The sequence below is a fragment of the Homo sapiens genome, chromosome 4, assembly GCF_000001405.40.
Source record: "Homo sapiens chromosome 4, GRCh38.p14 Primary Assembly".
Taxonomy (NCBI): domain Eukaryota; kingdom Metazoa; phylum Chordata; class Mammalia; order Primates; family Hominidae; genus Homo; species Homo sapiens.
Window position 1 is genome coordinate 184,624,972 of NC_000004.12, and position 26,795 is coordinate 184,651,766.

Consider the following 26,795-nt stretch of genomic DNA (forward strand, 5'->3'; position numbering starts at 1 on the left):
GAAAAAGCCCAAAGCTGGACAAAGCCAACACATGCGCTATCCATGGCAGTACCCAAGCAGCCGAGGGTCATCAGGTAGATTCACACAGCCGCACGGCCTGGAACCACTGCACATTTGTAATCGCTGGTTTCAAATGGGCCCCTACACATGGCCCAGCAACGTTACTAATCTCTGGTCAACTCCCATTCGTGACAATGATTGTTTCAAGCCTGCCTTACTCTTCTAGCCCTCAATCTATCATCTCCCTAACTTTGAACAGAGTTCTTGTCTTCTGCTTCACAGAAAATATAGAAGTTACAGTAAGGGAACTTCCTGCCACAAAACTACAAATGTAGCTTCACACCCAGCCCATTAAAAAAAAAATAAAAAAGGTTCTTCACTTCTTCACACTCCACCCCCAGCTAGGCTAGAATTTACTGCTTGGGTTCTTAGGAACTCTATACTGTCAGTTACCTTTCCCTCTAGTTAATTTTCAGTGTTTCTCTTAACTGGATCCCCACCATCAGCATTAAACCTATTCAAAGCTCTCTCACTTAAAAACAAAACCCCCAAATCTTCCAACTCACCTTCTTCTCCAGCTCCTTCCCTCTCTCCTGTGTGGAAGCTCCAGTGTATCTAACCTGTCTCCTTCACTATCAGGGGAAACCAGCCCCCGATATTTCACATAGGTTCTTTTCTATTTCTCTAAGTGTTGGCCGGTCTAGAAATAAAGGGAAAGAGTACAAGAGAGAAATTTTAAAGCTGGGTGTCCGGGGGAGACATCACATGTCGGCAGGTTCCGTGATGCCCCCTGAGCCGTAAAACCAGCAAGTTTTTATTAGCAATTTTCAAAGGGGAGGGAGTGTACAAATAAGGTGTGGGTCACAGAGATCACATGCTTCAAGGGTGACGAAAGATCACAAGGCAGAAGGTCAGGGTGAGATCACAAGGTCAGGGCAAAACTGGAATCACTAATGAACTTCTATGTCCCACTGTGCTCACATTGTCATTGATAAACATCTTAACAGGGTTCAAGAGCAGAGAACTGGTCTGACTAGAATTTGCCAGGCTGGAATTTCCTAATCCTAGCAAGCCTGGGGGCGTTGCAGGAGGCCAGGGTGTGTTTCATCCCTTATCTGCAACTGCATAAGGCAGACACCCCCAGAGCGGCCATTTCAGAGGCCCCCTCCCCTCCCCAGAATGCATTCTTTTCCCAGGGCTGTTAATTATTAATATTCCTTACTGGAGAAAGAATTCAGTGATATTTCTCTTACCCATTTTTGGTAATAAGAGAAATATGGCTCTGTTCTGCCCGGCCCACAGGCAGCCAGACTTTAAGGCTATTTCCTTTGTTCCCTGAAAAATCGCTATTATCCTATTCTTAAGGTGCCCAGATTTCACACTGTTCAAACACACATGCCCTATGAACAATTTGTGCAGGTAACACAATCATCACAGGGTCCTGAGGCGACAGACATCCTCAGCTTACGAAGATGACGGGACCAAGAGATCAAAGCAAAAACAGGCATAGGAAACCACAAGAGTATTGACTGGGGAAGTGATAAAGGTTCATGAAATCTTCACAATTTATGTTCCTCTGTCAGAGCCTCAGCAGGTCCCTCCGTTCGGGGTCCCTGACTTCCCGGAACACTTCACAGCTGAGTTGCTGCCATTTTTTAACACCAAAACAACGTTGTGATGAAAAGCTCATATATAATTTTGTACACACACAGGTGTATGGGTAGGCTGGATTCCAAGAAATGGGACTGCTACTTCAAAGAATAATTTGATAGGTATTGTCAGATTCCCCTCCACAGAGTATTTTACCGTATCATACTCCCACCAACGGGAGAGTATACATTTCCCACATCTTGCCAACAGAATATGTCACCAAACTGGGGTTTTTGCCGGTCTGATAGACGACAGATACTTTAATGTGCATTTCTCTTATTATGATGCAGATCAAGCTGTTTATTGAATTTAAGGGACATTTGGGTTTTCTTTTTTCTGTGAACTGTTTGTTCATGTCCTTGGCTCATTTTCCTATTGGGTTGCTGGTCTTTTCCTTTGTATCTGAAACCTCTTTACTTAACAGGGAGACTAGAATAAGCCAGATTTTCCTCAACACTATAGAACCACCGCTTTCATATGGCCTTAAAGAACTCATTTATGCTACTCTCTACTCCTCAGAAACAGAAGTCTCCTTTTCCTAGTTAGGACAATTTATTTTGTTTCTGATTTAAAAGTAATATATTTTCATTACAGAAATATTGGAAGAAATTTAAAACCACCCACAACCCCACTTTCCTATATTCCTTTTCTAAGCATATGAAGTAAAAAGACAGCAAATTCCTCTGTCAAAATCCCAGCGCCCAGAGGAGGCCATCAGTAAACATCAACGGCTTGTTGTATATCCTCTTAGGTTGTTCTTCCCATTAGACACTTATCTTGTGGAAAAAGTTTCAAATTCACACATATGGTCATATTTAAGGCCTGAGATCTATGCAAACAAAGTATCTTCCTGGCATTGTGGTCATTTCAGGGTCAGGAACTTCTGCGAGGACTTGGGAAGCATAAGCGATCTGTCTGCCCTGATCTAACTGCCACCACCTCAAAAAACTAGGCTAGGGTTCTGGTGCTTCCTCTTTGACTCTTCCAAATCAAGCTTCTGATTAAAAACATTTTAACTTCCAATTAGTGGCACAACATCAAAAACAACAGCAACAAAAAACTCAAAGACATTGGTAATTTTAAGTTTGAATGTATATTTTGAAATAAAAATGGAAAATAACAAATTTGTACAAAATTGTCACATAGAAACACACTTTAAGATACCATTACATGCTATGTGTATTTACAAAAGTTACAGGTCTAGTAAGAAAAAAGAAACTGTCATTGACAAATGCGAGCTCATTTTTTGAGCAACAAGAAATCTCCCGTGAAATGTCATACTGACAGCCAGTGAGACTTGGTGCAGTGACGGCTCCGCACCTGCTGAGGCCTGGAGCCTGCCTCCCGGGCTGAGGGCTCAGCTCTGGCCTCCGGCTGGATGCCGTCTAGAGTCCTATGTGCTCATAGGTCTTTTTCTTTCAGTAAACAGTATAAAACATTACTATTTTCCTTTGATTGTAAACTTCAACAGAAAATAACATACTTAAGAATTTTGCTACAAAGAGTACTATGATTTTTATTGCCTCACCACCTTTAGAACATTTCCACTTCACAAGTTTCTGATTTGCTTCACTTTCTTACTTGGCGATGGCGCCCTGGCAGCATCATCCACACATACCAGTGCGTATGGAGAAATGGGCTGTAGGCCCTTCCTGCGTGGTCCATGGCTCTGCCTTCATGGAACAGGCTGAGTCATGTCTCTGCTCAGGCTCAAACCATCTACTCTCAAGTTACAGGCAGCTCAGCCCATTCATTTATTGCTTTCCTTATATTCCACTGTTTATTATTTAAGTTGTATTTTCATATGTTCCTATAGAATTTATTCACATTACCTGGCTAATAATCAACAGTTTGGGGTTTTTATATAATAGCTCTTCAGATATATTGCTGGTATATGAAGCTCAACTGATATGCATAGGGACAAATCAGAAGATATTTATGCTGGTAGATCCAGGGGCATTGTAGCACCTTACAGTTAAAACTCCACCCCTCTATGAATGTTAAGTTTTAGCCTTAAAAGTCAAGTTAGTTTGCTCACACTTTCTCTCACATAAAATATTAGTTTCTTTCTCAATATTAAACATTATTATTATTTTTTTACAACAAAAGTGTTCAGGACAAACATCACAAAACCATAATCCCAGATAAATGGTCTAAAAATGCAGTTAAGTCATCCGTGTATATCAATTCTAAAATAAAGGTTTGAGCCTTTGACCATGCCCACAGATGCCTAAGTTCTTCCACATCATCATTTCTACAGTTTGACAAAACTAGAATACACAGTCTTAAGTGGGGGGAATATCATAAAAATTCATTACTTCAATGTTTAACTTTTTCACAATTACTTGAAAATTCATAGCACAGCATCACTGTAACTTGCTAATCATGAAAGCTGTAAATTAACAATCATTGCCTCTCATAATGACTGCACCAGTATCCATTTTTATTTATTCCTAATTTAATTCAATTGCAACTACCTGACTGGAAGTTTGAGGTAGCTTCATAGTGGTTCTATTTGATGGAAGGAGTATGTCTTAAAGTACCCTCTGCAGCATGAGAGTAGGTCAAAATGAGAGGGAAATACAGTACCAAATATACCATCTTCTCACTTGGCATACAAACTAAAAAAAACCACCAACCAACCATTTCTTTAGTGATAAAAATAGAGTTCTTTTGTGAGCATGGAAACAATACATGGAATCTGTTTCTTTGCATGAAAAGTAGCGTCAAAGGAAAAGGACTCAAATTCTGTTGCCACCTTTCGGTTAACCCGGGTAAGAATGTGCATAAATTCAAGCTTGTCGGCATACTGTTTCAGCATGGCACAAAGCGACTGGATGAACCAGGAGCCATCCTTTGAATTTCGCCAAGAATAATAACCTAAAAGGCAAAATACAAGCAAAATACCATGGATAGCTGATTTTAGTTGATTCTATAAATTATTATGTAGTCATAAAGGCAAAAATAAGCATAAACTTACATAAGTCTTATTAGTCATACAAATAAAAAAAAAAAGACACCTTTGGTTTCAGAAGAAATGATGCTGAAGGACGAATGTGTGCTATGCGTACACCCCCTGCTTTCAGCAAAGCTGGCCGGGGACCAGCTTCACGAACACTGAATTATTGAAAGTTTTACTTTCTGGACTCCCCTTTCAATAGGCAAGAAGAGCAAACACGCAGAAGGTAAGATGCAAAAGTAAAGATGTATAAAAAGGATCATTGTAAGTAGCACAGTGTTCCAATCAGATTTCACCTTATTTTAATACTGACTTAGCCAAGAAACAAATTGCTTTGAGTGTCCTACTTGTCTACAGAGCATCTGAATAAAGTATAATAAACACACTACCAAGTATTGGTCCAAAAAGGGAAAATAGTATATTTATCATACTTTTTTTTCTAGGTTAACTATTAGACCCATTGCTTTTAACTTAGAGGTACTTTGCTTGGAAAGATGCCTAGAGGATAAGATAAACCATATTGAGCATATTTTAAAATGCAACACTGCTTAAGAATACATTTACCTAAAGTTTCCAAACTCTCCGACACCCTTAGCTGTGTGAGTAAATGGTGGTATAATCCACAAATGTTTATTTAGATGATGACGTGTGCAGCAGAACAGTAAAAACGTGGAGGTTAACGGCACATTCATGTATCGTTTTTTACCTTCTTTTCTCCCACTCCACATCTATCCTCTTGTATACTAGTCATGTTTATCTTTTTTATTTACTACCTTTCAAATAACTCCTGAGAAACGTACCTCTCTTCTTCTCTAAGATGCAGGGGAAGCTCTGACTTGGCCTCTGTTGCCACGTAATATTCTACCTGATATTAGTAGCGGAGATCTACCTGATAAAGTCCAATGAATGACATCGTGCTAGTCTACTCTACATATGCATATTTTCTTTTCTTTTTTTCCTTTGAGACGGAGTCTCACTCTGTCGCCCAGGCTGAAGTGCAGTGGTGCGATCTTGGCTCACTGCAACCTTTGCTTCCCAGGTTCAAGCGATTCTCCTGCCTCAGCCTCCCCAGTAGCTGGGATTACAGGCGTGTGCCACCATGCCCAGCTAATTTTTCTGTATTTTTAGTAGAGATGAGGTTGGCCAGGCTGGTTTTGAACTCCTGACCTCAAGTGATCCACCTGCCTCGGCCTCCCAAAGCGCTAGGATTACAGGCGTGAGTCACTGTGCCTGGCTATATATGCATATTTTCTAGCCAAACTTTTGGCTAAAGACAACTTTTTGAGACTTCTCTTTGATGAAGGTTCCCTAAAATATAGACAAGTTTTGATATCTTTAGGGATATCAAAATCTTGACAGTCTCTGAAACACACTTTTCATTGTATAATTCTATGATCAGTCACAGTTAATTCATTTAAAATCCACATGTAACATTCATTATGTGTAACGTTCTCACCAGGTGCTGTGGAGTATGCATACAAGAAGTCGGCCTCCACTGGTATTTTATGACACGCCATGTCATCATCAACACCACTGTCTGTCTCAATGCCACAGTCCAGTTCTGTACCACGGCAGGCCTGGGTGTTAGAAAATAAATATTTATTTATAAAAATTTGTGTGTGAACACATAACTTAGTTCTAAAAAATTGAAATGCTATGTAAAAATGGATGTTAATTGGCCGGGCGCGGTGGCTCACGCCTTTAATCCCAGCAATTTGGGAGGCCAAGGCGGGCGGATGACTTGAGGTCAGGAGATCGAGACCATCCTGGCTAACATGGTGAAACCCTGTCTCTATTAAAAAAAAATTTAAAAATTAGCTGGGCCTGGTGGCAGGCGCCTGTAGTCCCAGCTACTCAGGAGGCTGAGGCAGGAGAATGGCGTGAACCCAGGAGGCAGAGCTTGCAGTGAGCGGAGATCGCGCCACTGTACTCCAGCCTGGGCGACAGAGCAAGACTCTGTCTAAAAAAAAAAAAAAAAAAAAAAAAAAGGATGTTAATTATGCTGAGTCTTTTTGATATAAGTATAAAATTAAAATTTACTCTATATCTTTTAAGTGGTAAATAAATGAAAAGTAACAATAGTTCATTAGCTTCAGGAAAAAAATTATCCTTTGGATAATTTACAGTTGAGAATAGTAACCCCTGCTTAATCGTCAATAACCAAATCACTCAGTTAGACATTACCTGAATAATGAAAAGTTTGGGTTTTCCAGTTAGACTTCTACAACGATCCCCTCTGAAAAAGTTTGTTATTTTTTTCAGGTCAACAGGTCCATTTGTTCCAAAAATTATTCCTTCTTCACCATGGCTCAGAAGCACACAAACAAAACTGCTCCTTTTGCTGTGATCTTCTTTAGAAACTGTAAAGACATTTGCAAATAAAAGGAAAAAAAATCCATGACTTTATTCAACAACTTCAGATATACTGTATGGGAACATGATGAAGAAACTGAGACTAAAACTAAGAGGTCATCTTAACCTAACCTGGGGCACGGCAACACATCTCAAACCATTTTAGGAAGTTGGCATAAATAACTTTTTTTAAACTTCTTACTAAAGTATGTAAGATTAGGGTTATGTACAGTATAATTCCACAATTCTCATATTTTATTATACATATAATTATTGCTAGACCATAGTATAAAATTAATTGTACAATGAAGTTCATTCTAATTGTTTCTTCTTACCATCACGCATCAATTCCACAATTTCTTCACGTGTAAGATCATTTTTATTCCTGACTTCATATTTCAAGTTTCTGAATGTTTCCCTGAGGTTTGCTGCATCGACATCTGTACCAGACCGAGATGTCATTCCTTGGAACAGAAAGAATTACTTTTAATTGTATGGAAAACAAAGAATAACTACTTTGAAATGAAATTAACTACTCAGCAATTCAGAAGTCCACAATAAATTCTTCCTTTTAAATGGTAAGAGAATTCTAACTATTTTGAACATGGTGAACAAAATTTCTTCAATTTTGTAGCTTATAAGATACTTCATAATATAAGCTCATCAGTGTTATAGCCAAAATGATGTCTTTCACAGCGGTTTAGGTAGTGAAAAACACAAATGTCTAACAATAAGGGTTTGGTTAGACAAGCTATACTAACTTATATAATGGGATATACTATGTTGTCATTTTCACAGATAAAATGTTGCCATGGGAAAATCATCAGTTTAAAAAAATAAGACTAGAAAACAATACGATCCTATAATACATACACACATCTGTCACACTCAGAGGAAATGCGTTTCTCTGACTCTAACTTCCCAACAATTTTAAGATAGCATTACAACATTTATAGTGCCTTCAAGGAAAACCCCCAAACATTATTACTGTTCATCAGGTATTCTGCTATGGCTAATCTCTAATCCTTCCAATCACCATGAGAGTCATATTATTACTAGTTTCACTTGTGCAGATGTGGGACATGTAGCAGAGTTAACAAACCAGTCCAAAGTGACAAAGCTATGCTGGGCCTGTATCCAGGGCTCCTGGGCTTTCTACCACTCCTTTAGAGAACCTTCCACATTAACGTACAGATTGACTGCATGATGCACTCAGATTTCAAAATGCTAAATCTTGGTGGGAAACATCCCTCAGAATTGAGTAAATTTGATGGGTATGAAGATTAAATACAGAAAGTCTACATGTATCTCCAAAATGTTGTTGATTATCTCAGCTGTGTGACAAGGTCACTGGCTTCTGGTGCTGATGTGTTGGCTGCCTTTTAATTTTTATTTATTTTTATTTTTTAGACAGGATCTTGCTCTGTGGCCCAGGCTAGAGTACAGCAACCACAGCTCACTGCAGCCTCAACCTCCCAGATTCAAGCTATCTTCCCACCTCAGCCTCCCGAGTAGCTGGGACTACAGGTGCGCACCACCACACCCTGCTACCTTTTTTCTGTTTTGTAGAGATGGGATTTCCCTGTGTTGCCCAGACTGATCTTGAACTTTGGTGCTCAAGGATCCTCCTGCCTTGGCCTCCCAAAGTGTTGGGATTACATGTGTGAGCCATGGCGCCTGGCCCAACACCAGCCTGCCAGAGATCTCATGAGAACCTGACCTTTACATTGCAAAGTAGGAAAGGAGCTCACTGGGCAAAACCCAGACTGCTGGTCTAAATATGTGGGGGGAGGTGCTGGTGGTAGTGGAATAATATGCTTGTTTTTGGTTTTTGAAACAATAGAGCCAACAGTGCAAAATTCTATAGGAAGGAGGTATCCTAACTAGAAATGTGAGGCAGAATATCTAGAAGTAAATTTTCAAATATGCGTAAAGCAAAAGTAAACAAGGTGTTGTGTTTTTAAGTTAATGGTTGAAGGTGGCATCTCAACTTATAGCCAAAAGCAATAAAACTGATGCCATTTAGAGCTCCATTTTCAACTATTCTCTTCTCACTCCTTATAATTAATCTGACACAAACCCTGCTATCTTCCCAGTGTAATCTGGCTTCCTTCCATTTCCACCACCACTCTGATAGGTACTGGCCCACCTTAGATCTACTACAGCTTCTCTAATTAAAAATTAACTCTAATATGATTAATAGGCCAATTCAAAGAATTATCATAGCATCAATTTAAAAGGGAAACAGCCATAATGTTCATTCATACAGTAAATTATTCAAATTAAGTGAATGGTAGTTTTGGGGATGCAGTATTATATAATCATTATAACAGATATGAAAATTATGCAGCAATATGAAAAATGCTATTCCTTTAAGTGAAACAAGCAGAAGACAACATTGCTTATACGTTATGAATAAAATCAAGCTTTAAAAAGAACTGCCAAGAAAAAATAACAATACACCAAATATTAATTAGCTTTTTTGGCACTGTGAAGGATTTTATTATCTATATTTCTAAAAAAACATTCTCAAATGTAGTACTACATTCAAGTTGTACATAGTACAGAAATCGAGAGGGGGATCTGGTGGCAAGGCCATGGTAAATTTAAAGCAAGCAGTTTTAGTAGTAGAGACAGAAAATGGAAAAAGACTCAAGAAGGAATGGAAACAAATGAAGAGTACAAGCTTAAACTACATGTATTCAAAATTTAAGGAAGAAGGGAAGGAGACAAAATATCAAAGGAATCAAAAGGAACAGAGTAAAAGAAAGGTCTCTCTAAGATGGGGAGCTTCGTAGGGTAAGGGAAGACAGGCAACAGAGCACATGAGGATACAAGGAAGTGAAGCAGAACAGAAGATGGATTCAGAGCTTGGGCTTTGGAGCCACACAGACCTAGCTCTGCCGCCATACTGTGTGACTGCGCGAGGTCTTTAACCTTTCAGAATCTCATCGTTACTTTCCAGGTTGTCATAAATTAAATAAGGCAATGCTTGTGATATCTCTTGCAGTTTCTGGGGAAAAAATAAATACTACCACTTAACTGTTTTTTTGAGAACCTTCCATTGGGATCAAAGAGGAAGCAGAAAGAAGAAAAAGAAGCAAGGGCTACAGAGAAGTCAGGGCAGAGGCAACCAAGCATACAGATAGGAGGCCAGCAAGAGGAGGCTATGAAGTTGGGCAGAAGAGTGACGCGTTCACAGTGTATCAGAGGACCTGTAGGTCCTGCCCAATCTCTACTTCACAGCTAGTCTGTGTCACGGTTTACTGTCTAATACCTCAATAATACTGCTTTTAATATTATATCAAATGTAAATGGCACAAACATTTGAAAAGGATTAAAAATTATGTAAGACACATACCAGTGCTTTTATGAAAATTCTTATTATTAATTATTATACATAAACCCATCTCAGGATAATCCATTTTATAACTGTTGTCCAGGGATATTCCAGAGTCCATTGATTCGCTTCCATGTATGATCTTTCTGTTTAGAAATCAAATAATAGCTTTACAAAGGTAGAAATGACCACGCCTTCTGTTTATATTAGTGCAATTTTTATAACTCACAGTAACAGTTAACACTTGTTGAATGTTATAAACCAGGCTGTCTTCATTTCAATTTCACATCAACAGTTATACAGATGAGAAAATGACCTGACGTGAGGCTAAGTAATGTGCTAAAGGTTATGCAAATATTGTGTCACAGCCAAGAAGGAAGGAAAGCATCTGTTGGACTTCAGAGTTCAGGCTTTTAACTTCCATGTTTTACATTTTCCTCTAAATTCTTCAAAATTTCATCAAATACCTTTATAATTTAAAAATTACTTATTAACTTTGTGAAATATTTTATCCTTTGAGGTAAGAGTAAAAATCTTAAAAATTACCCTGAAATGATGGGAAATCAACAAAATGCAAATATAACTCAAAGCACAATATTTATCACAATTCATAAATTATTCCTTAAACCCCATGAGCTAAACAAATTAGTAATTTATTAATATATAAAAGCATTATTGTAAATAATTGAAAATATCTGTCTGGAAGTCACTTATCTAAAAAAACCTCTGCTATCTAGATTGGGGTCAGTAAACTTTTTTTTTAATGGGCTAAATATTAAGTGTTTTAGGCTTGTGGGCCATCTGGTTTCTGTTACAGCTACTCAATTCTATTCTTTTTTTTTTTTTTTTGAGACATGGTCTGGCTCTGTCACCCAAGCTGGAGTGCAGTGGTGCCATCATAGCTCACTGCAACTTTGAACTCTTGGGCTCCAGTGATACTCCTTCCTCAGCCTTCTGAGTAGCTAGGACTACAGACAGGCATGCCCCACCATGCCCAGCTAATTTCTGTATTTTCTTTTTTAGAGACAGGATCTCGCTATGTTGCCCAGGCTAGTCTTGAACTCCTGGCCTCAAGTGATCCTCCTGCCTTGGCCTCCAAAAGTGCTGGGATTACAGTTGTGAGCCACTGTGCCCAGCCATAGCTGCTCAATTATACTGGTGAAACGGGCTTAGGACAATATGTAAGCGAATGGATGTGCCTATATTCCAACGAAAGTTGATAAAAACAGGCCTTAAGCTTGATCCCTGATCTAGACCAAGAGTCAGGCAAAAACAGGTCTAGGAACTACCAAACACTAACACCTACAGTCCATATACTCATGCACTTAACCTTAAGAGCATCTCACATTATACACAATTCCAAAAATACTGTTGGAAAAAGATTAAATGTAGTAAATTAAAGGAGTCAACGTGAGAAAACAGTTATGATTTTTAACCAGAGGTGAACAGCCTCACATTTACAGACTGAAGTTAAATCCTGAAAGCGTGACTTGACCTTTGAGTCCTACAGATGATGGATCATGGGACTTATGACTCCCAGCTCCCGACACCCCTTCCCCACGTGCTCTGGGTGCCTCCTAAGGAGGTAGGTACTTTACAAGCATATGATAGCTAGTCCACGAGGGGATACTCCTAATAAAAGGCAGAGGCTGTGAAAGCCGGGACTGTGAGGGCAACTTACCAAAGGATCGAAACAACCCTAAACCTGTCTGGGGCTTCCGTGCAACTTGTTATTGAAGTGGTGTTCTGCATGACATGAAAAGGTAGGGCCAGGCAGGGTGGTTCACACCTGTACTCCCAGCACTTTGGGAGGCCGAGGCAGGAGGATCCCTTGAGGCCAGGCATTGGAGACCAGCCTGGGCAACACAGCAAGACCCCCATCTCTACAAAAATAAAAAACAAAAATAACCAGGCATGGTGGCACATGTCTGTAGTCCTAGCTACTCAGGAGGATTACTGGAGCCCAGGAGTGCAGTGAGCCATAATCAGATCACTGCACTCCAGCCTGTCTCAAAAAAGAAAGAAAAAAAAAATAGTAGGAAAATGTGTAAATCACTTTCAAAGGATTTTTTTGAAGAGATGGGGTCTTACTTCACTGTAACCTCTGGCGTGTAGCTAGGACTGACTACAAGCACACACACTATGGTGGACTAATTGTTTTTTGTTTTTTTGTAGAGACAGGGTCTCGTTATGTTGCCCAGGCTGGTTTCAAACTCTCCACCTCAAGTGATCCTCCTGCCACAGCTCCCACGTAGCTGGGATTACAGGAGCAAGCCACTGCACTGGCTAAAATGATTTAAATGACAGCAACAACTCTCTAAAATGGGACTGCATTTTAAAAGTTTACTTTCTAGAAAAATCCCTTTGCTAAACAAAATTGTGAAATCTTTAGTGGTAACTTGTTAATAGTATTTCTGTAATCATATTGTTTAGTAATAAAATTAGTTTGTAATATTCAGGGCAGCCGAGAATAACAATACTGGGTTTCAGAAATAAACTTTCAGAATTTAAAGTATTACGAGAGATCCCAAATAAATAATAACAGACAAGAATTAAAAAGTGAATTTGAGTTTTATCTTTTTCCTTTTTCCATCTGCTAGTTATTGGAAGCATTAATAAGCAGAATATTCCAAAAAGACACGGGGAAAAAAAGGGTAAAATTCATCCATAACTAGGCAGTTTGTCCCCGGACTGAAAACTGGCATTGCATTTTAGTCGTAAAAACTCATAAACAAGAGGTCAAGAAACTCCTCCCAAACCTAAACCCTCTAATCCTATAGAGCGATTCGGGAGGGTAGAAAGCACCGGCGCTTGGGAGTCCTGCCTCTCCTGTGGTGTCCTTTTGGTTCCAGGACTAGGTTTCCAACTATGGGTCACACACCCTACTAGGCCTTTCCTTTCATCTTCCCTTCAGTTCTGTGAAAGTTTTAGCCCCATGTTAAAGACGAGGTTCAGAGAAGAAAAGTCAGTTTATGCAAAGCCACACAGCTGTCTGAGGTAGGAAGTCACTTGGTCTCTCTGGCCTGAGAGAGAGACCACTCTCTTTCCTCTTGCCCCACTGCTCGAGGTTTGCTTATTACACATCCCCATCTTTCTCTGATTATAAAGAATTCAATTTAAATACTCACGGTTCCAAATTTTTAATGGATTTTGAATCCACTGAGTTTTCAGTGTTCTCCATGGATACCTTTATTAACTAGAATACAAAGAAAATAGAAGTTAATAAAAAATCAGTCATAAAACCACTGCATTATATTAATTATCCCAGTGATTATTTTTCCAAATTAATACCTCAGTTCTCCCTCTACTGTTAAAGGTGTATGTGAGTCAGTTCTGGGGATAATGATTTCTTTGCAATGGTACATACAATTTAGCCTCTCTCTCTCTTTTTAATTGAGCTATGAATTATATATAGTGAACTACATAAAGCATATAGAAAGTATACAGCTCGATTTTTTATATTTACATACCCTCATCAGATCAAGATACAGATTACAGTTTATTTCTTTTGTAAGACAACACCTCGGGTCATTTCTAAGAACTGCAACTCAACACAGTTAAAACAAAAATCAAAAACTTCCCACCACAATGGTATAACTCACATAACACAATTCTACAATGCTTAGATTCCCAAGATACAGTATCAAGATGTTCCAAATCTCCATTAATCTTTATTCTTTTTTTTTTTTTCTTTTGAGGCAGGGTCTCACTCTGTCACCCAGGCTGGAGGGCAGCGGCGCAATCACGGCTCACTGCAGCTTCGATCTCCTGGACTCAAATTCTCCCGCCTCAGCCTCCCGAGTAGCTGGGATTACAGGCATGCACCACCATGTCTGGCTAATTTTTGTATTTTTTGTAGACATACGGTCTCGCTGTATTGCCCAGGCTGGTCTCAAACTCCTGAGTTCAAGTGATCTGCCCACCTAGGCCTCCTAAAGTGCTGGGATTACAGGCAAGAGCCACCGCACCCGGCCTAGTCTTTACTTTTAAAGTGGGTTTTGGAAGCCCAGCTTCTCATTTAGGGTAGTAAAATGGCCCAGGAAATGTAAAAGTAGAAACTAAAGTTTCTGCTTTCATTCTTCCATTACACAATTATATCTCACAAGGTGAACCAGTTCTTAGAATCAAAGCAACTATCACTTATTGAGCACTTAATATATACCAGGTACTTTGCAAGGCACTCAGTTTTAATCTTTTCAAAATTCTAAACGTCAGAAAACCCAACTTCTGGTGGTTAAGTGACTTTGTCGACAGTCACAATCTAAGTGACAGGGCCCTCTTCCCACTCTGCTATGCTGCCTCTGAAGAAGCCAGCTCCTTACTACTTTTCTGGAGTTCTACCAGGCATTTTCTGGCTTTTCGAAGCAAAGGTACTTCCCATGGCAATCCACCTCCCTAAATAGAGGAAAACAAGAACAAAGGCAAAACAAAAAACAAAAACAAAAAATACTGAGTGACCTTCTCCACACTCTAGAAACCCTGACAATGTCAAAAATTCCAGTCAAAATACAACTTTAACCTCACTCCTATGATAAAATCAGAAATACCAAAATAATACACAAGCCTATAACAGAACTTGCTCACCCTCAAAAGTCCTTCTAGAAAGTCCTAGGTAACTTCCCCCACTTTTAAAAATTTTAATCTTTAAAACTGTGGTGAAATAGACATAAAATTTACCACTCTTAAGCGTACAGCTCAGTGGCATTGAGTACAGTTACACTGTTGGAATCCATCCCAGGACTTTTTTATCTTCCCAAACTGAAACCTTTACCAAGGTCCCCAATTTCAAGGTCTCTTGGAAAACATCATTTCTTCCCTTCTATTAAGACAAAGCTAAGCTCCTTCCTCCCCTCTCTCCCAGTTTTGTGTGCACCCCTGGTGAGGAAAGGTGCAGCAATAATATAGAAGACAGCCAGTGCCACCATCTCAATTTAACCACAGGAGAGGGTGATGTTTGACCTTCTCCAAGAGCCAGTCTATGCTCTGCATTTCTACGAAGACTTTGCTTTTCTACCATCTTACTTCCTGTAGGCTTTCTGGAAAATCAAGGGAAGATGTGAGTATAATTGGGATAAATCATCTTTTAGTTTGTCAGTAAACAAATACTTTGTGCCAGGTATCATCCTGGGAAATAGGACAGAGTGGAAGACAAGACAAAGTTCCTATCTTCCATTAGATCTTACTTTAGATAGAAGAATAATTATACAGTAGTATACCTGTGGGGCAGGGGCAGGGGGTACCTCCCAAGTCCCCCAGTAGATGCTTGAAACCAAATACAGTACTGAGCCTATATGCAGCATATTTTTTCCTATACGTACATACCTATGAAAAAGTTTAGTTTATAACTTGGGCGCAGAAAGGGATTAACAACAATAACTAATACGGGTACCTGAACATAAACACTGCCATACCATGACAGTTGATCTGATAATCGAGACAGCTACTAAGTGACCTGCCATTAGTCACTCAGTACATATTACATATTAGTATGTCTTCACATATTAACATATTTATTAACAGTGGCTGTCTGGGTGATGGCATTACTGACACCTTATTTACTCCTTAACATTCCTCTATATCTTCTAATTTTTCTATAACATCTGCATTTTTTAAAAGTGAGAAAACAGTAACAAATATTATTCTATAAAATAATATCAACAAAGGTCAGGATTGTTCTAGCCAATTTCAACTCTTGGCCCTGTTTCAAGAGTGACAAAAATAGGGGTATTCTCCTATCAAAGTAGCCACCCTTCCTTGCCTCTATCATGCTCAGTACCATGTTCCCCTCTATCTGCCCTTTTTTCTTTCATATGTACAATAAACATGTATTAGGTACCAGGAAATCTCGAACTTCCTTGAACCATGAATATCATAGAGACCAACTTGCCCCATGCACATCAATTCAAAGCGGACAGACCACATACAAAATCATTAGCCACCTGTGGTTGAGAAACAAATTGTGGTTAACTTGATTAACTGAGAGAACAGTACAGGGTAGCTAACAAGTCTGGAAACGTAGGTGAACACATAATAGTTTACTGATATTGCATTATAATCCATGAGAAAATATCTTTGTTTCAAGACTTTATGGCCAATCTATAGAAAATCTAAAGTGAAAATCCAGTGGGCCTCATCAAAGATACACAGACTGCAAATAATGGGAAATGCTAATTAAAGCAACAATGAGGTATCATTACATACCTAGCAGAATGGCCAAAACCAGAACACCATCAACACCAAATGCTGGTGAGGATGTGGAGCAACAGGGATTCTCAATCACTGCTCGTGGAAATGCAAAATGGTACAGCCAACTCGAAAGACAGTTTGGCAGTTTCCTACAAAACTAAACATACTCTTACCATATGATCCAGCCATATGGTAAATACGCACTCTTTGGTATTTACCCAAAGGAGTTGAAAACTTATGTTCACACAAAAGCCTGCACACAGATGTTTATAGCAGTTTTATTCATAACTGTCAAAACTAGAAGCAACTAAGATGTCCTTCAGTCGGTGAATGAATAAATAAACCGTGGTATATCCAGAGAACAGAATATTACTGAGCACTAAAAAGAAATGAGCTAGCAAGCCATGAACACTTTAAATGCATTATTACTAAGTGAAAGAAGCCAGTTTGAAAAGGCCATATATACCGCATGATTCCAACTATCTGACAATCTGGAAAAGGCAAAACTATGGAGACAGTAAAAAGATCAGTGGTTGCCAGTGGCTAGGAGGGAGGGAGACAGCACAGAGAATTTTTTTTTTTTTTTTTTTTTGTTTTGAGATGGAATTTCGCTCCTTGCTCAGGCTGGAGTGCAGTGGCGTGGTCTCGGCTCACTGCAACCTCCGCCTTTAGGTTTCAAGCGATTCTCCTGCCTCAGCCTCCTGAGTAGCTGGGATTACAGGCGCATGCCACCATGCCAGGCTAATTTTTGTATTTTTAGTAGAGACGGGGTTTCACCATGTTGGCCAGGCTGGTCTCGAACTCCTAACCTCGTGATCTGCCCGCCTTGGCCTCCCAAAGTGCTGGGATTACAGGCGTGAGCCACCGTGCCCGGCCCGCACGGAGACTTTTTAAGGCAGTGAAACTACTCAGTGTGACAATATAATGGTGGATACAAGTCCTTGTAAATTTGTCCAAAACCATAGGATAAACAGCACCAAGAGTGAACTTGATTGTGAACGATGGCGTTTGGGTGATGATGACGTGTCAGTGTAGGTTCCTTTGTAAGAATGTACTACTCTGGTGCAGGATGTTGATAATGGGGGAGACTACGCACGTGTTGGGGGGCAGGTGGGATACAGGATGTCTCTGTACGTTCTTCTCAATTTTGGTTTGAACCTAAAACTGCTCTAAAAAATGAAGTCTAATTTAAAAACTGGGAAATAAGACTTAATAACTTCGGAAGCTGAACCTGGAGCTCCTGGCAGTATCCTTTCTAGCCCCCAGTCTGCCTCAAATTGGCTCTCTGAATGCATGTGCCAAATGCAGGGTTCACAGTCTGTGCTCAGGAACCCCTAAATGCTGATCAGCTTCCACAGACAACCAAGGACCTAAAGATCTCTTTTGAACACTTCTGCAAACAGTCTAGTAACTCTTACACTGAAATACTGACTTTTAATAAACTTGTGTCTTTTGCCAGCAATAAAATTGTGGGATAAAATTATTCTCTCCTTGTGACTGGTAATGGAAACTTTAAATAGTGACCAGCTTTTCAGAGTACTGTAATATACAAATACTATACAAATACTATAGTGGACTTCATTAACTTCATTATTAGTATCTGAACAACATACATTGCCTCAGTTATCAGTTTATTTTGATATACTTCTAAAAATTTATATGATGGTAGATGAAATCCTTACAGCATCAGACATGCGCACATTTGCTCTCTACTTGTCATCATCCGCTTTTTCCACATGAAAGCACCAAATCCACACTCCTGGGAGCAGAGCTTTGGTTCCCGCAAAACTCACTGAAGTGCTGCTTAGCATGACATCACCTCCATTAGCTAGTGCCCAGCAGGGTACAAATTATTCTGAGGATGGTGATCTCATCTTAGAAGGATAAAAAAATCACATCCTAAGGGAAATAGTCACTGCCTTAAATGAAAACAGAAATTTTGCCTGTAATCCCAGCACTTTGGGAGGCCGAGGCGGGCGGATCACAAGTTCGGGAGATCAAGACCATCCTGGCTAACACGGTGAAACCCCGTCTCTACTAAAAATATAAAAAATTAGCCAGGCGTGGTGGTGGGTGCCTGTAGTCCCAGCTACTCAGGAGGCTGAGGCAGGAGAATGGCGTGAACCCGGGAGGTGGAGCTTGCCGTGAGCCGAGATCGCGCCACTGCACTCCAGCCTGGGCGACAGAGTGAGACTCCGTCTCAAAAAAAAAAAAAAAAAAAAAAGAAAACAGAAATTTTGGTTTTTAGAACATTCTTATTTGACAAAATATAAATAGGAAAAATAATTGTGATTTAAAAGATTTATCCTGGCATAGCAATGGACTTAACATGAATTGTTTCTTACTGGGCTGATGTGTGTGTAATTCTGTTCAATTCAGGATGCTGCTGCTAAGAAAGGAAATTTCTGAACACATATGTTTATGGCAAAGTTCTCAGTAGACCAACTGATATTACTTAGAAACCTGGAACTCAGGTCTCAGAATCACTTGTCTAGTTCCTGGATCCCTTAACACTTGCCACCAACGCTGTAACAGTCAGGTCTTCAAACACAAAAAAATATTGTCAGTATAAATTTACTTCACTCTAAAATAGATACTTAGACATTTCAAGCTGTGTTTTCCTACACAAGTAAAAAACTAGAATGTTCTCCCTATTTACATGGTGGTTAGCCAACTACTCATTACAATACTGAAGTAAAGCAGACTACAACATCTATAGCATTAAGGCAGAGAAATAAAAATTAATTTCTAAAGTGAAATTTCTATATTAAGCTATAAAGTATTAACAATTTGAAACAACCTGTTATTAAAGAGTGAATGTGTGAAAGTGTGCCTGTGGTGGGGAATTCAAAAGGAGATGTTAAATTAGGATTGCCAGTCTCTAAAACTGAAAGAAAAAATACATTATTTTACAATAGGATTTAAAATATTTGATAAAGATTTCTCAGGGACAAATACTATAGTGGACTTCATTAACTTCATTATTAGTATCTGAACAACATATATTTTCTCAGTTATCAGTTTATTTTGATATACTTTAAAAATTTATATGATGGTAAAGGAAATCCTTACAGCATCAGACATGCGCACATTTGCTCTCTACTTGTCATCATCCGCTTTTTCCACATGAAAGCACCAAATCCACACTCCTGGGAGCAGAGCTTTGGTTCCCGCAAAACTCACTGAAGTGCTGCTTAGCATGACATCACCTCCATTAGCTAGTGCCCAGCGGGGTACAAATTATTCTGAGGATGGTGATCTCATCTTAGAAAGATAAAAAATCATATCCTAAAGGAAACAGTCACTGCCTTAAATGAAAACATTTATGTGCCAGTCTCTAAAACTGGCAATCCTAATTTAAATTTTAAATCTCTAAAATTCTTAATCAGCTCATTAGGCTGTTGCTGGTTCCTGTCCTACAGGGAAACTCTGAGGTAAGAAATAAAATCTGGTCTCTGCCCTAAGGGTTTTTAAATCTCAAAGTGAGACCTAAAAAACAACTGTTAGTTTCTGAATCATGTCCATGAATGTAAATGCTTTTAAGAAACATTTACTAGTAAAGATTTACCAAAACAGTAGCCAAAGGATGTGGCGTGAGAGCTGTGTGCAAAGCGCTGCGTGATGACTGTCCCTCTTAATGCTGGCTCATACAGGCTAGGTACTGAACTCAAAGTACAAGCGTATTTTCGTGAGTCCTCCCAATGACACTCTGAGGCATAAGGATCCCCACTGCAGAGTTCAGGTGACTGAGGCTAAGAGAAGTTAATGAACTTTAAAGTCGCACAGCCAAGATTCAAACTAGGATCTTCCCAACTCAAGAGGGCAGACTCCCACTATTCTGTAGACAGCTTAGTACTATATAGGAATGATAACACTTAACTTCAGGGAAGGAAACAAAAATCCATAATCTCAGAAGCTTTAAATAAGACAAAGAAAATAAATAACATGATAGAAAGTTACTGCAGAGATAACAAAATAACATAATGCACTGAATTCTAATGAATGAAAAAATGGCAAAAATGACTATGGCATTTCTGATGCGACTAGGTAGTTTACTTTTGTGTTTTCTTTCCTTTTTTAAAAAAATTTAACAAACTTCGCATGTGGCATTCAATTTACTTCTAAAGTGAAATAGGCCAGACACAGTGGCTCGCGCCTGTAATCCCAGCACTTTGGGAGGCCAAGGTGGGAGGAATGGTTGAGATCATGTGTTCAAGACCAGTCTGGGCAACACAGAGAGACCCCATCTCTATAACAAAGTAAAAACAAGTAGCCTGGCATGGTGGCACACACCTGTAGTCCCAGCTACTCAGGAGGCTGAGGCAAGAGGATTACTTGAGCATAGGAATTGGAGGCTGCAGTGAGCTATGATCGCACCACTGCACTTGAGCTTGGGTGACACAGCAAGGCTGTTTCTAAAAATAATAATAATAAAAGTAAAATAACTGGTTTCATGTTCAGCGTTAGGTATATGTCATTAAAACATATTCCCTGTATCTCTGTGTTCCTCCAAAGGAAAAGTGAAGCCTGTCCAGCAGGACTTCTGGGGAGATTACACTTCTGTCAAACAACTTGAAAAATATCAGGATTATATTTATTACCTGTCAGAGAGGACAAAGTCTCAAAAGCAGTCACGTTTCCAGATTTAGCAAATGAAACAGAAAGAACATCTGTTTCACAATAGTTTGGACAAGAAAAGACTTCAGTTGTGATGTACCAGAGGTTTTATCAAAATCTTTTCCCATCTGGTCTCTGAATTCATTTGAGTACGTATAAGAATTATCAAACTGGCGATTGTAACTGGGCCTGGTGAAGTCAATCTTTTAATATTTGTTATGTAATTAAGGTAAAAATATGAGAACAGGAATGTAAAATCAAATACAGAATACATTGAAATAAGTTCCATTGTACTATACAAACAAACCATCCTTTCCTTTCCTCTGGCAAGGGCCACGTGACCAGGAAGACAGTACAGAGCACTCTCCACTATTCAAAGCCTCTGAGTTTATGACACAAGTTAGAAAGAAGGGCACTTAGTATGTGCAAACGATCTGTCTTCCCTGTGCCAGGTGAAGTCCTAAGATGGTGTTTTTGGAAGGACAAAAGGAGAAAATGGGAAAGCCTTCACAGATCTAAATGATTTGTATGATATAAGTGTAAAATGGAGGATCTCGGATGCCTTTTTATAAAAATTACAGATGACTTTAAAGCCTCAGCACTCCCACCAAGGATGACTACTTTGCAGAATCAGATTCAAGTTTAAAACCGCTTGAAGAAATCCTGCTGTCAGGAAGACTGAAACTGCCAAAACTCAGATTCAGTAGCATTTATTCATTTGATATTTGCACCATAACAATTTACTGAACACCAACTGTGTGCAGAGTACTATACTAGACCCTGAGTGTATCAAGCAGTGGAAGAGACAAACCCTATCTCTATTCAGGGCTTATACCGATGCTCACTGGTATTCAAAAGTGGCTCAACAAGGCAGATGCCAGACCGTGTCCAATACATATCAGGTAGCTTGATTTCATTATTGTAATGCAAAGAAGCTCTACAGGCAACATGTGAAGGTAAGAACAAAACATGCAGAGAAAGAATATTATATAAATCTAAGAATTCTCCCATCTTTGTTTAGGCCCAAACACCAGTGCTTCTTATCTTTGGGGCAGAGCTTAAAGATCTAATAGTAGGCACCAGAAGCAATGTAATATATCATTCATCAAAATAAAGACTGCTTTGTAGGGGGATGAAGCAGTAGGAGATTGTGTTAAACGAGGTTTGAAAACAAAACAGTAAAGAAGCATTATAATTGCCTATATCAGATGCCAGTCTCTTCAAATGGCAAGAGGCAAGGCCTTTATTCAGGATAGCAAAAGCAAATCTGATTTAACTAGGTACAATGTCTAATGTCTCTTACTTTGAACAGGTTTTATTGCCATACTCCAATAAACTGTTCATCCATTCACTAAAATAATTTTCACTTTCAAAAACCTTCTTTTGCAAAAAGGCAAAGCAAAACCAAAGTCCAAGCATCGGGCTGTGATAGAGATGATTTAAGCTTTATATTTCATTTTTAGAGATTATGTAACCACAGCACGCACATTCACAGTGGCTGAGCCCATTTTGATACAGTCTGGTCTAACCACCTTGCCTGGCCCTCTTTCAGCTATCTTGCAGGTTTACATCGTTTCAGTGACTCCGTATGTCACCTCTACCATTTCTTTTCTAATTATTATTTGCTGAATAATCCTAAACCAGGTCTACTTTTTCTAGATAGGGCATAAAAGTAAAAATACAATGGATGGGCATTCACTGTGTTATGCCAGGCCCCGCATTTGGGGCAAGACACTAAGGATACCAAGATAAACCAAGTCCGTCCCTCCTGGAGTTTGCTTGCAAATCTAGCAGGGAAGATAGTAAACAAGCAACTGCAAAGGATATGACACATCTCTCTTAGGGAATGCTGGCTGCAGAAAGAACACAGCATAGGAAGATTTAACCTTAAACTGTTTAATGAAAACAGAAATTTAAGTAGCAGCTCTTCTAATCAAATGTGATGGCGGGAGAAAGGGAGTGCAGAGGTGTTGCAGGCAGACACTAGGTATGAAGGTCAGCATTGCCGTGCAGAAATCGAACCGGTGCTAAAGATAAGGAGGGGTGGGGGCACTCAGGACCCAACACACGCAGGGGTTTGTTAGCCATATTAAGTGCTGGGTTTAACCTAAGGGCAAAGGACGAGCTTTCTAGACTTTCATTTCATAAAGATCCCTCTGCCTGTGCTGTAAAAAGTGGACTGCAAAGGAGCAGGCGGGTCTGGAAGTGGAGAGACCAGGGAAGAGGCTGCTGTGGTCAGACGGCTGAAATCAGAGATAGAGAGACGCGGACAGATCTGGCAGACATTTACAAGGTCGACAAGGCTTGGCGACTAAGCAGGAAAAGAAGTGGGTGGGCGAGAGGGGGCTGCGAACGATGTTTTCCGGTTTCCTGCTTGGGTGCCACTTACTGAGAATGGGGGAAGAGGCAGGTGCAGGGCACACCCACCGAAAACCAGAGCGCCGAGTGTGAGCAGGGCTCGCTAACTCCTCACGGCCTGGGATTTCAAGGCGACGCCAACCAGCTGTGGCCACGGATACACAGCCACAGGTATGAGCTGCGAGCACTCACGAAACTCTGCAGGGCCGAAAAGGAATTGGAGTTTAAACCCTGCAACTATCTCTCTGGAAGAGCTAAACCACATTGTCAACCCGGGATAATCCAGGCCCCAGGCATGGAAGGCAGCAGAGACGGAAGCCTCGTCCAAAATTGGAAGGATCAGCCCCCAGGGCGAGTATCTCACAGTCAGCACCCGGCCGCCCCAGCCCTCGCAGCACCGCTTCCCGGGGCCACTCCTCCGCCGGCGGTAGCGCCGTCCGTTTCCCAGCTTGCCGCTGCCTTCCGCCGCCTGACCCGGCCTTCCGGCACTCGGCCGGCCGCCAGGTCTCCCGCCCTCGGAGCTCGGTGCCCCGTGCCCGACCTCCCGGCCCCGGGCTCGGTTCCCCTGGCCAGGCCTCCCGCTGCCTGGCCTCCCCGGCCCGGCCTCGCGCTGCCCGGCCTCCCCGGTCCCAGCCCAGCCTCCCGCCCCCGGGCCAGGTCTCCCCTCCGATGACCTGAGGCCTTTCCTTAGGTTACCCCCAGGTCCCTCTCCCTAAATCAAAAGCCTTAACCCGCTGCCTGGCTTCCCCGGCCCCGGCCCAGGCTCCCGCCTCCGGGCCAAGTCTCTCGCTCCGCGGGCTTCACTGCTCGCCCCCGCCCGGGCGAGGTGGCAAAACAAACACTCCGCCTTCCAGACCGGGCAGGTACCCGGGCGGGCGCAGGGCCTGGGAGAACGCAGGGAGCGGGGGCAGGGCTGACGGCCCGGAGCGAGGGCGGCAGTCACCGCACAGCCTCCTCATACCTTCTACAACCGCCTCACAATAGCACCCATCCGCTAGGAGCCGCGTCTGCACTGCTTCCGCGGCCCGCCGCCGGGAGATGTGCTCCAGCGCCAGCCCCGCCTCCCGCCCGCCCCTGTCGGCCCCTCGCGCCGCCTCCGCTGCGGCCCGTCCCCTAGCTCCCGCCCGCCCGAGAACCCAGCCCCAGGCTGGGCCCCAGGAGGCGCCCGCCCACCGCAGCGCGCCCCGCCCCCGCGCCCCGCGTCCTCACGCCCTGGTCCCGCCCTCGCGTCCCGCGCCAGTCCTCCCGCTTTGGTCCCGCCCTGAGGCTCGGCCCGGCTCCCCCGCCCCGGATTTGAAATCTAGGTCTTCCTGAGAGTCCGCGGGCTTCCGCTCCCAGCGCGGGATTCTGGAGGGAAATTGAGGGAGACTTGGAAACCGCGCCAGGCCCAACGGGTACCTAGAAGGGAGACAAAGCCAGGCCTGCTGCCCAGTTTGAGCTCTGGGAAGAAGAGGAGCAGGCCGGGACGCCCACCGGTAATTTCTGTCTCCTCTGCGATGACCTGAGGCCTTTCTTTGGGTTACCCTCAGGTCTCTCTCCCTAAATCAAAAGCCTTAACCTCCTGTCATCAGGGTGCCAGGCTAGAAATAACCAGGTCCACGCATGCTGTGTTTTCCACCATGTCAGGCTGCTGTGGACGCTCTTTCGATCACAAAAGCCACGAGCTGCGTGGAGTTCCCAAGGAGGCAGTTCTCAGCACTTGCTGGTCACTGGGTAGTCAGAGCCTGACACACAGGCTCAAGCCGCTCACGCATCATAGTAGTGTACTTAATCCACATATAAATGTTACAAGTTAAGCATCCCACAACAAAGTAGCATTTAACATCATGAGGAAAAAGAGATGGGGCAAAGAGATTAACGAACCAATCCAGAGGGAGTGAAGAAGAGGAAAAGAAGCCTGGTTTGGGCCGAGAGGTCCTTCTGCAAAGACGGCGTCAATTAAGCCGGCTGTTGGGAGCTGCCGAAGGCCCCATCTTTTATAGTCACAGAGTCCTGTGGTGAGAACTGGTAATGGAAGAGAGTGCTTGTTTGTGTCCTTACCTGGCTGGATGCGGACTATTTTTTTATTTGTTTATTAAAGTATAGTATGCTTGTTGGCAAATGCCTTATGAAATGTAAAAATGGGGTCTTCTCCTAAGATGGAGTTATTAATGGTTACGTCAATGGTGTGCTATATACACTGCCCTACCGATCCCCTTCCTATTTTGGGTCGTGAACTCATTTCAGACCCTGAAGCAAACTGTGAATCATTTTCGCAGAAGAATTCACCAACACATGTGAGCACGACATTCTGCATCAGATTTCAAAAAGTTCTTGACATTCAGAAGTCAGATTCAGGGACCCCATGGCAGAGCCTGTTTCTAACACTTGCGCCTATTCGACTATAGGGACTATATTCTGCACAGAAATATACTTAGTTTTATATATGGTTACCCCTTGCTGAGTTTATTGCATGCTTTTACATTTTCATAATACATTTGTTTGTTTCAGCCTTTCAACAATCCCTCGGGATAGGAATTCCAATTTAAAGAGGATAAGGTTTAAAGAGGTTAAGGCCGAGTTTAAAGAGGTTAAGTCCCGGCGCGGTGGCTCATGCCTGTAATCCCAGGACTTTGGGAGGCCGAGGCAGGTGGATCACGAGGTCAGGAGTTCGAGACCAGCCTGGTCAAGATGGTGAAACCCTGTCTTTACTAAAAATACAAAAAAAATTAGCCGGGTGCAGTGGTGGGCACCTGTAATCCCAGCTACTTGAGAGGCTGAGGCAGGAGAATCGCTTGAACCCGGGAGGCAGAGGTTGCAGTGAGCTGAGATTGCGCCACTGCACTCTAGCCTGGGCAACAGAGCAAGACTCTGTCTCAAAAAAAAGAAAAAAAAGGGGTTAAGTAGTTTGCTGTTGCTAAAAAGACAGTCACAGGAGTTAAACTCAGATCCCACAAATAAGACTTAGGCCTTTCTTTATCCCTCCTGAATTGAGTGAACACCAATGTTTGACAGTCCTTTTTCTGCCTCAATAAAACTGAGAAATAGGACCCACTCCCAACCTTAACAGTGGCTCTGCAGAGCAGTAATTTGCAAAGAGGGGACTAGTGTGGTTGAACTAGTCCTTATCCTATTGTGATGCCCAAACCCCTTCCTGTGCTAAACTTTCTTGCCAAATTAGCAAGCATTAGCAGCAGTTTTCTGGTTTCCTGTAAATCATACTAATTTACTTAGTCTGTGAACTTTTTTTTTTGAGACGGAGTTTCACCCTTGTTGCCCAGGCTGGAGTGCAGTGGTGCAATCTCGGCTCACTGCAACCTCCGCCTCCCGGGTTCACATGATTCTCCTGCCTCA

General features: G+C 41.6%; 2 protein-coding genes across 39 annotated transcripts in view, besides 6 other annotated features; one reads left to right on the forward strand and one right to left on the reverse strand.

Moving 5' to 3' along the window:
- Positions 674-1,255: an enhancer, noted in NCBI's record as "OCT4-NANOG hESC enhancer chr4:185546799-185547380 (GRCh37/hg19 assembly coordinates)". NCBI's record gives its function as "activates a minimal SCP1, AML or CMV promoter by ChIP-STARR-seq in primed H9 embryonic stem cells {active_cell/tissue: H9 hESC(primed)}" and the evidence as "EXISTENCE:reporter gene assay evidence [ECO:0000049][PMID:30033119]".
- CASP3 (caspase 3) lies at positions 2,725-24,476 on the reverse strand. Of its 14 annotated transcripts, none has more exons than NM_001354777.2 (8): positions 24,424-24,476; positions 23,532-23,660; positions 13,430-13,497; positions 10,323-10,447; positions 7,297-7,425; positions 6,794-6,969; positions 6,066-6,186; positions 2,725-4,530 (listed from the first exon to the last, which is right to left on the reverse strand). In NM_001354777.2, exons 3-8 carry the CDS (start codon positions 13,480-13,482, stop codon positions 4,301-4,303), a joined length of 834 nt encoding a protein of 277 aa, NP_001341706.1. In that variant the 5' UTR covers positions 13,483-13,497; positions 23,532-23,660; positions 24,424-24,476; the 3' UTR covers positions 2,725-4,300. The 14 variants fall into 14 exon arrangements, with proteins under 14 accessions (NP_001341706.1, NP_001341709.1, NP_004337.2 ...); NM_001354780.2 differs by having other exon boundaries at positions 10,323-10,443; positions 23,494-23,660; NM_004346.4 differs by having other exon boundaries at positions 23,494-23,660.
- Positions 17,936-18,514: an enhancer, noted in NCBI's record as "OCT4-NANOG-H3K27ac-H3K4me1 hESC enhancer chr4:185564061-185564639 (GRCh37/hg19 assembly coordinates)". NCBI's record gives its function as "activates a minimal SCP1, AML or CMV promoter by ChIP-STARR-seq in primed H9 embryonic stem cells {active_cell/tissue: H9 hESC(primed)}" and the evidence as "EXISTENCE:reporter gene assay evidence [ECO:0000049][PMID:30033119]".
- Positions 18,515-19,092: an enhancer, noted in NCBI's record as "OCT4-NANOG-H3K27ac-H3K4me1 hESC enhancer chr4:185564640-185565217 (GRCh37/hg19 assembly coordinates)". NCBI's record gives its function as "activates a minimal SCP1, AML or CMV promoter by ChIP-STARR-seq in primed H9 embryonic stem cells {active_cell/tissue: H9 hESC(primed)}" and the evidence as "EXISTENCE:reporter gene assay evidence [ECO:0000049][PMID:30033119]".
- Positions 19,394-20,025: an enhancer, noted in NCBI's record as "OCT4-NANOG-H3K27ac hESC enhancer chr4:185565519-185566150 (GRCh37/hg19 assembly coordinates)". NCBI's record gives its function as "activates a minimal SCP1, AML or CMV promoter by ChIP-STARR-seq in naive and primed H9 embryonic stem cells {active_cell/tissue: H9 hESC(naive and primed)}" and the evidence as "EXISTENCE:reporter gene assay evidence [ECO:0000049][PMID:30033119]".
- Positions 23,984-24,193: a silencer, noted in NCBI's record as "silent region_15840". NCBI's record gives its function as "represses an Ori minimal core promoter by ATAC-STARR-seq in GM12878 lymphoblastoid cells {active_cell/tissue: GM12878}" and the evidence as "EXISTENCE:reporter gene assay evidence [ECO:0000049][PMID:35858748]".
- Positions 24,204-24,783: a silencer, noted in NCBI's record as "silent region_15841". NCBI's record gives its function as "represses an Ori minimal core promoter by ATAC-STARR-seq in GM12878 lymphoblastoid cells {active_cell/tissue: GM12878}" and the evidence as "EXISTENCE:reporter gene assay evidence [ECO:0000049][PMID:35858748]".
- Positions 24,767-26,795, forward strand: part of PRIMPOL (primase and DNA directed polymerase) — a 45,215-nt gene continuing 43,186 nt past the window's right edge. For all 25 annotated transcript variants that reach the window (XR_938701.4, NR_144314.2, NR_144312.2 and 22 more), the window contains exon 1: positions 24,767-24,937. The gene's annotated coding sequence lies outside the window, so the exon portion shown is untranslated. The remainder of the gene's footprint in view (positions 24,938-26,795) is intronic.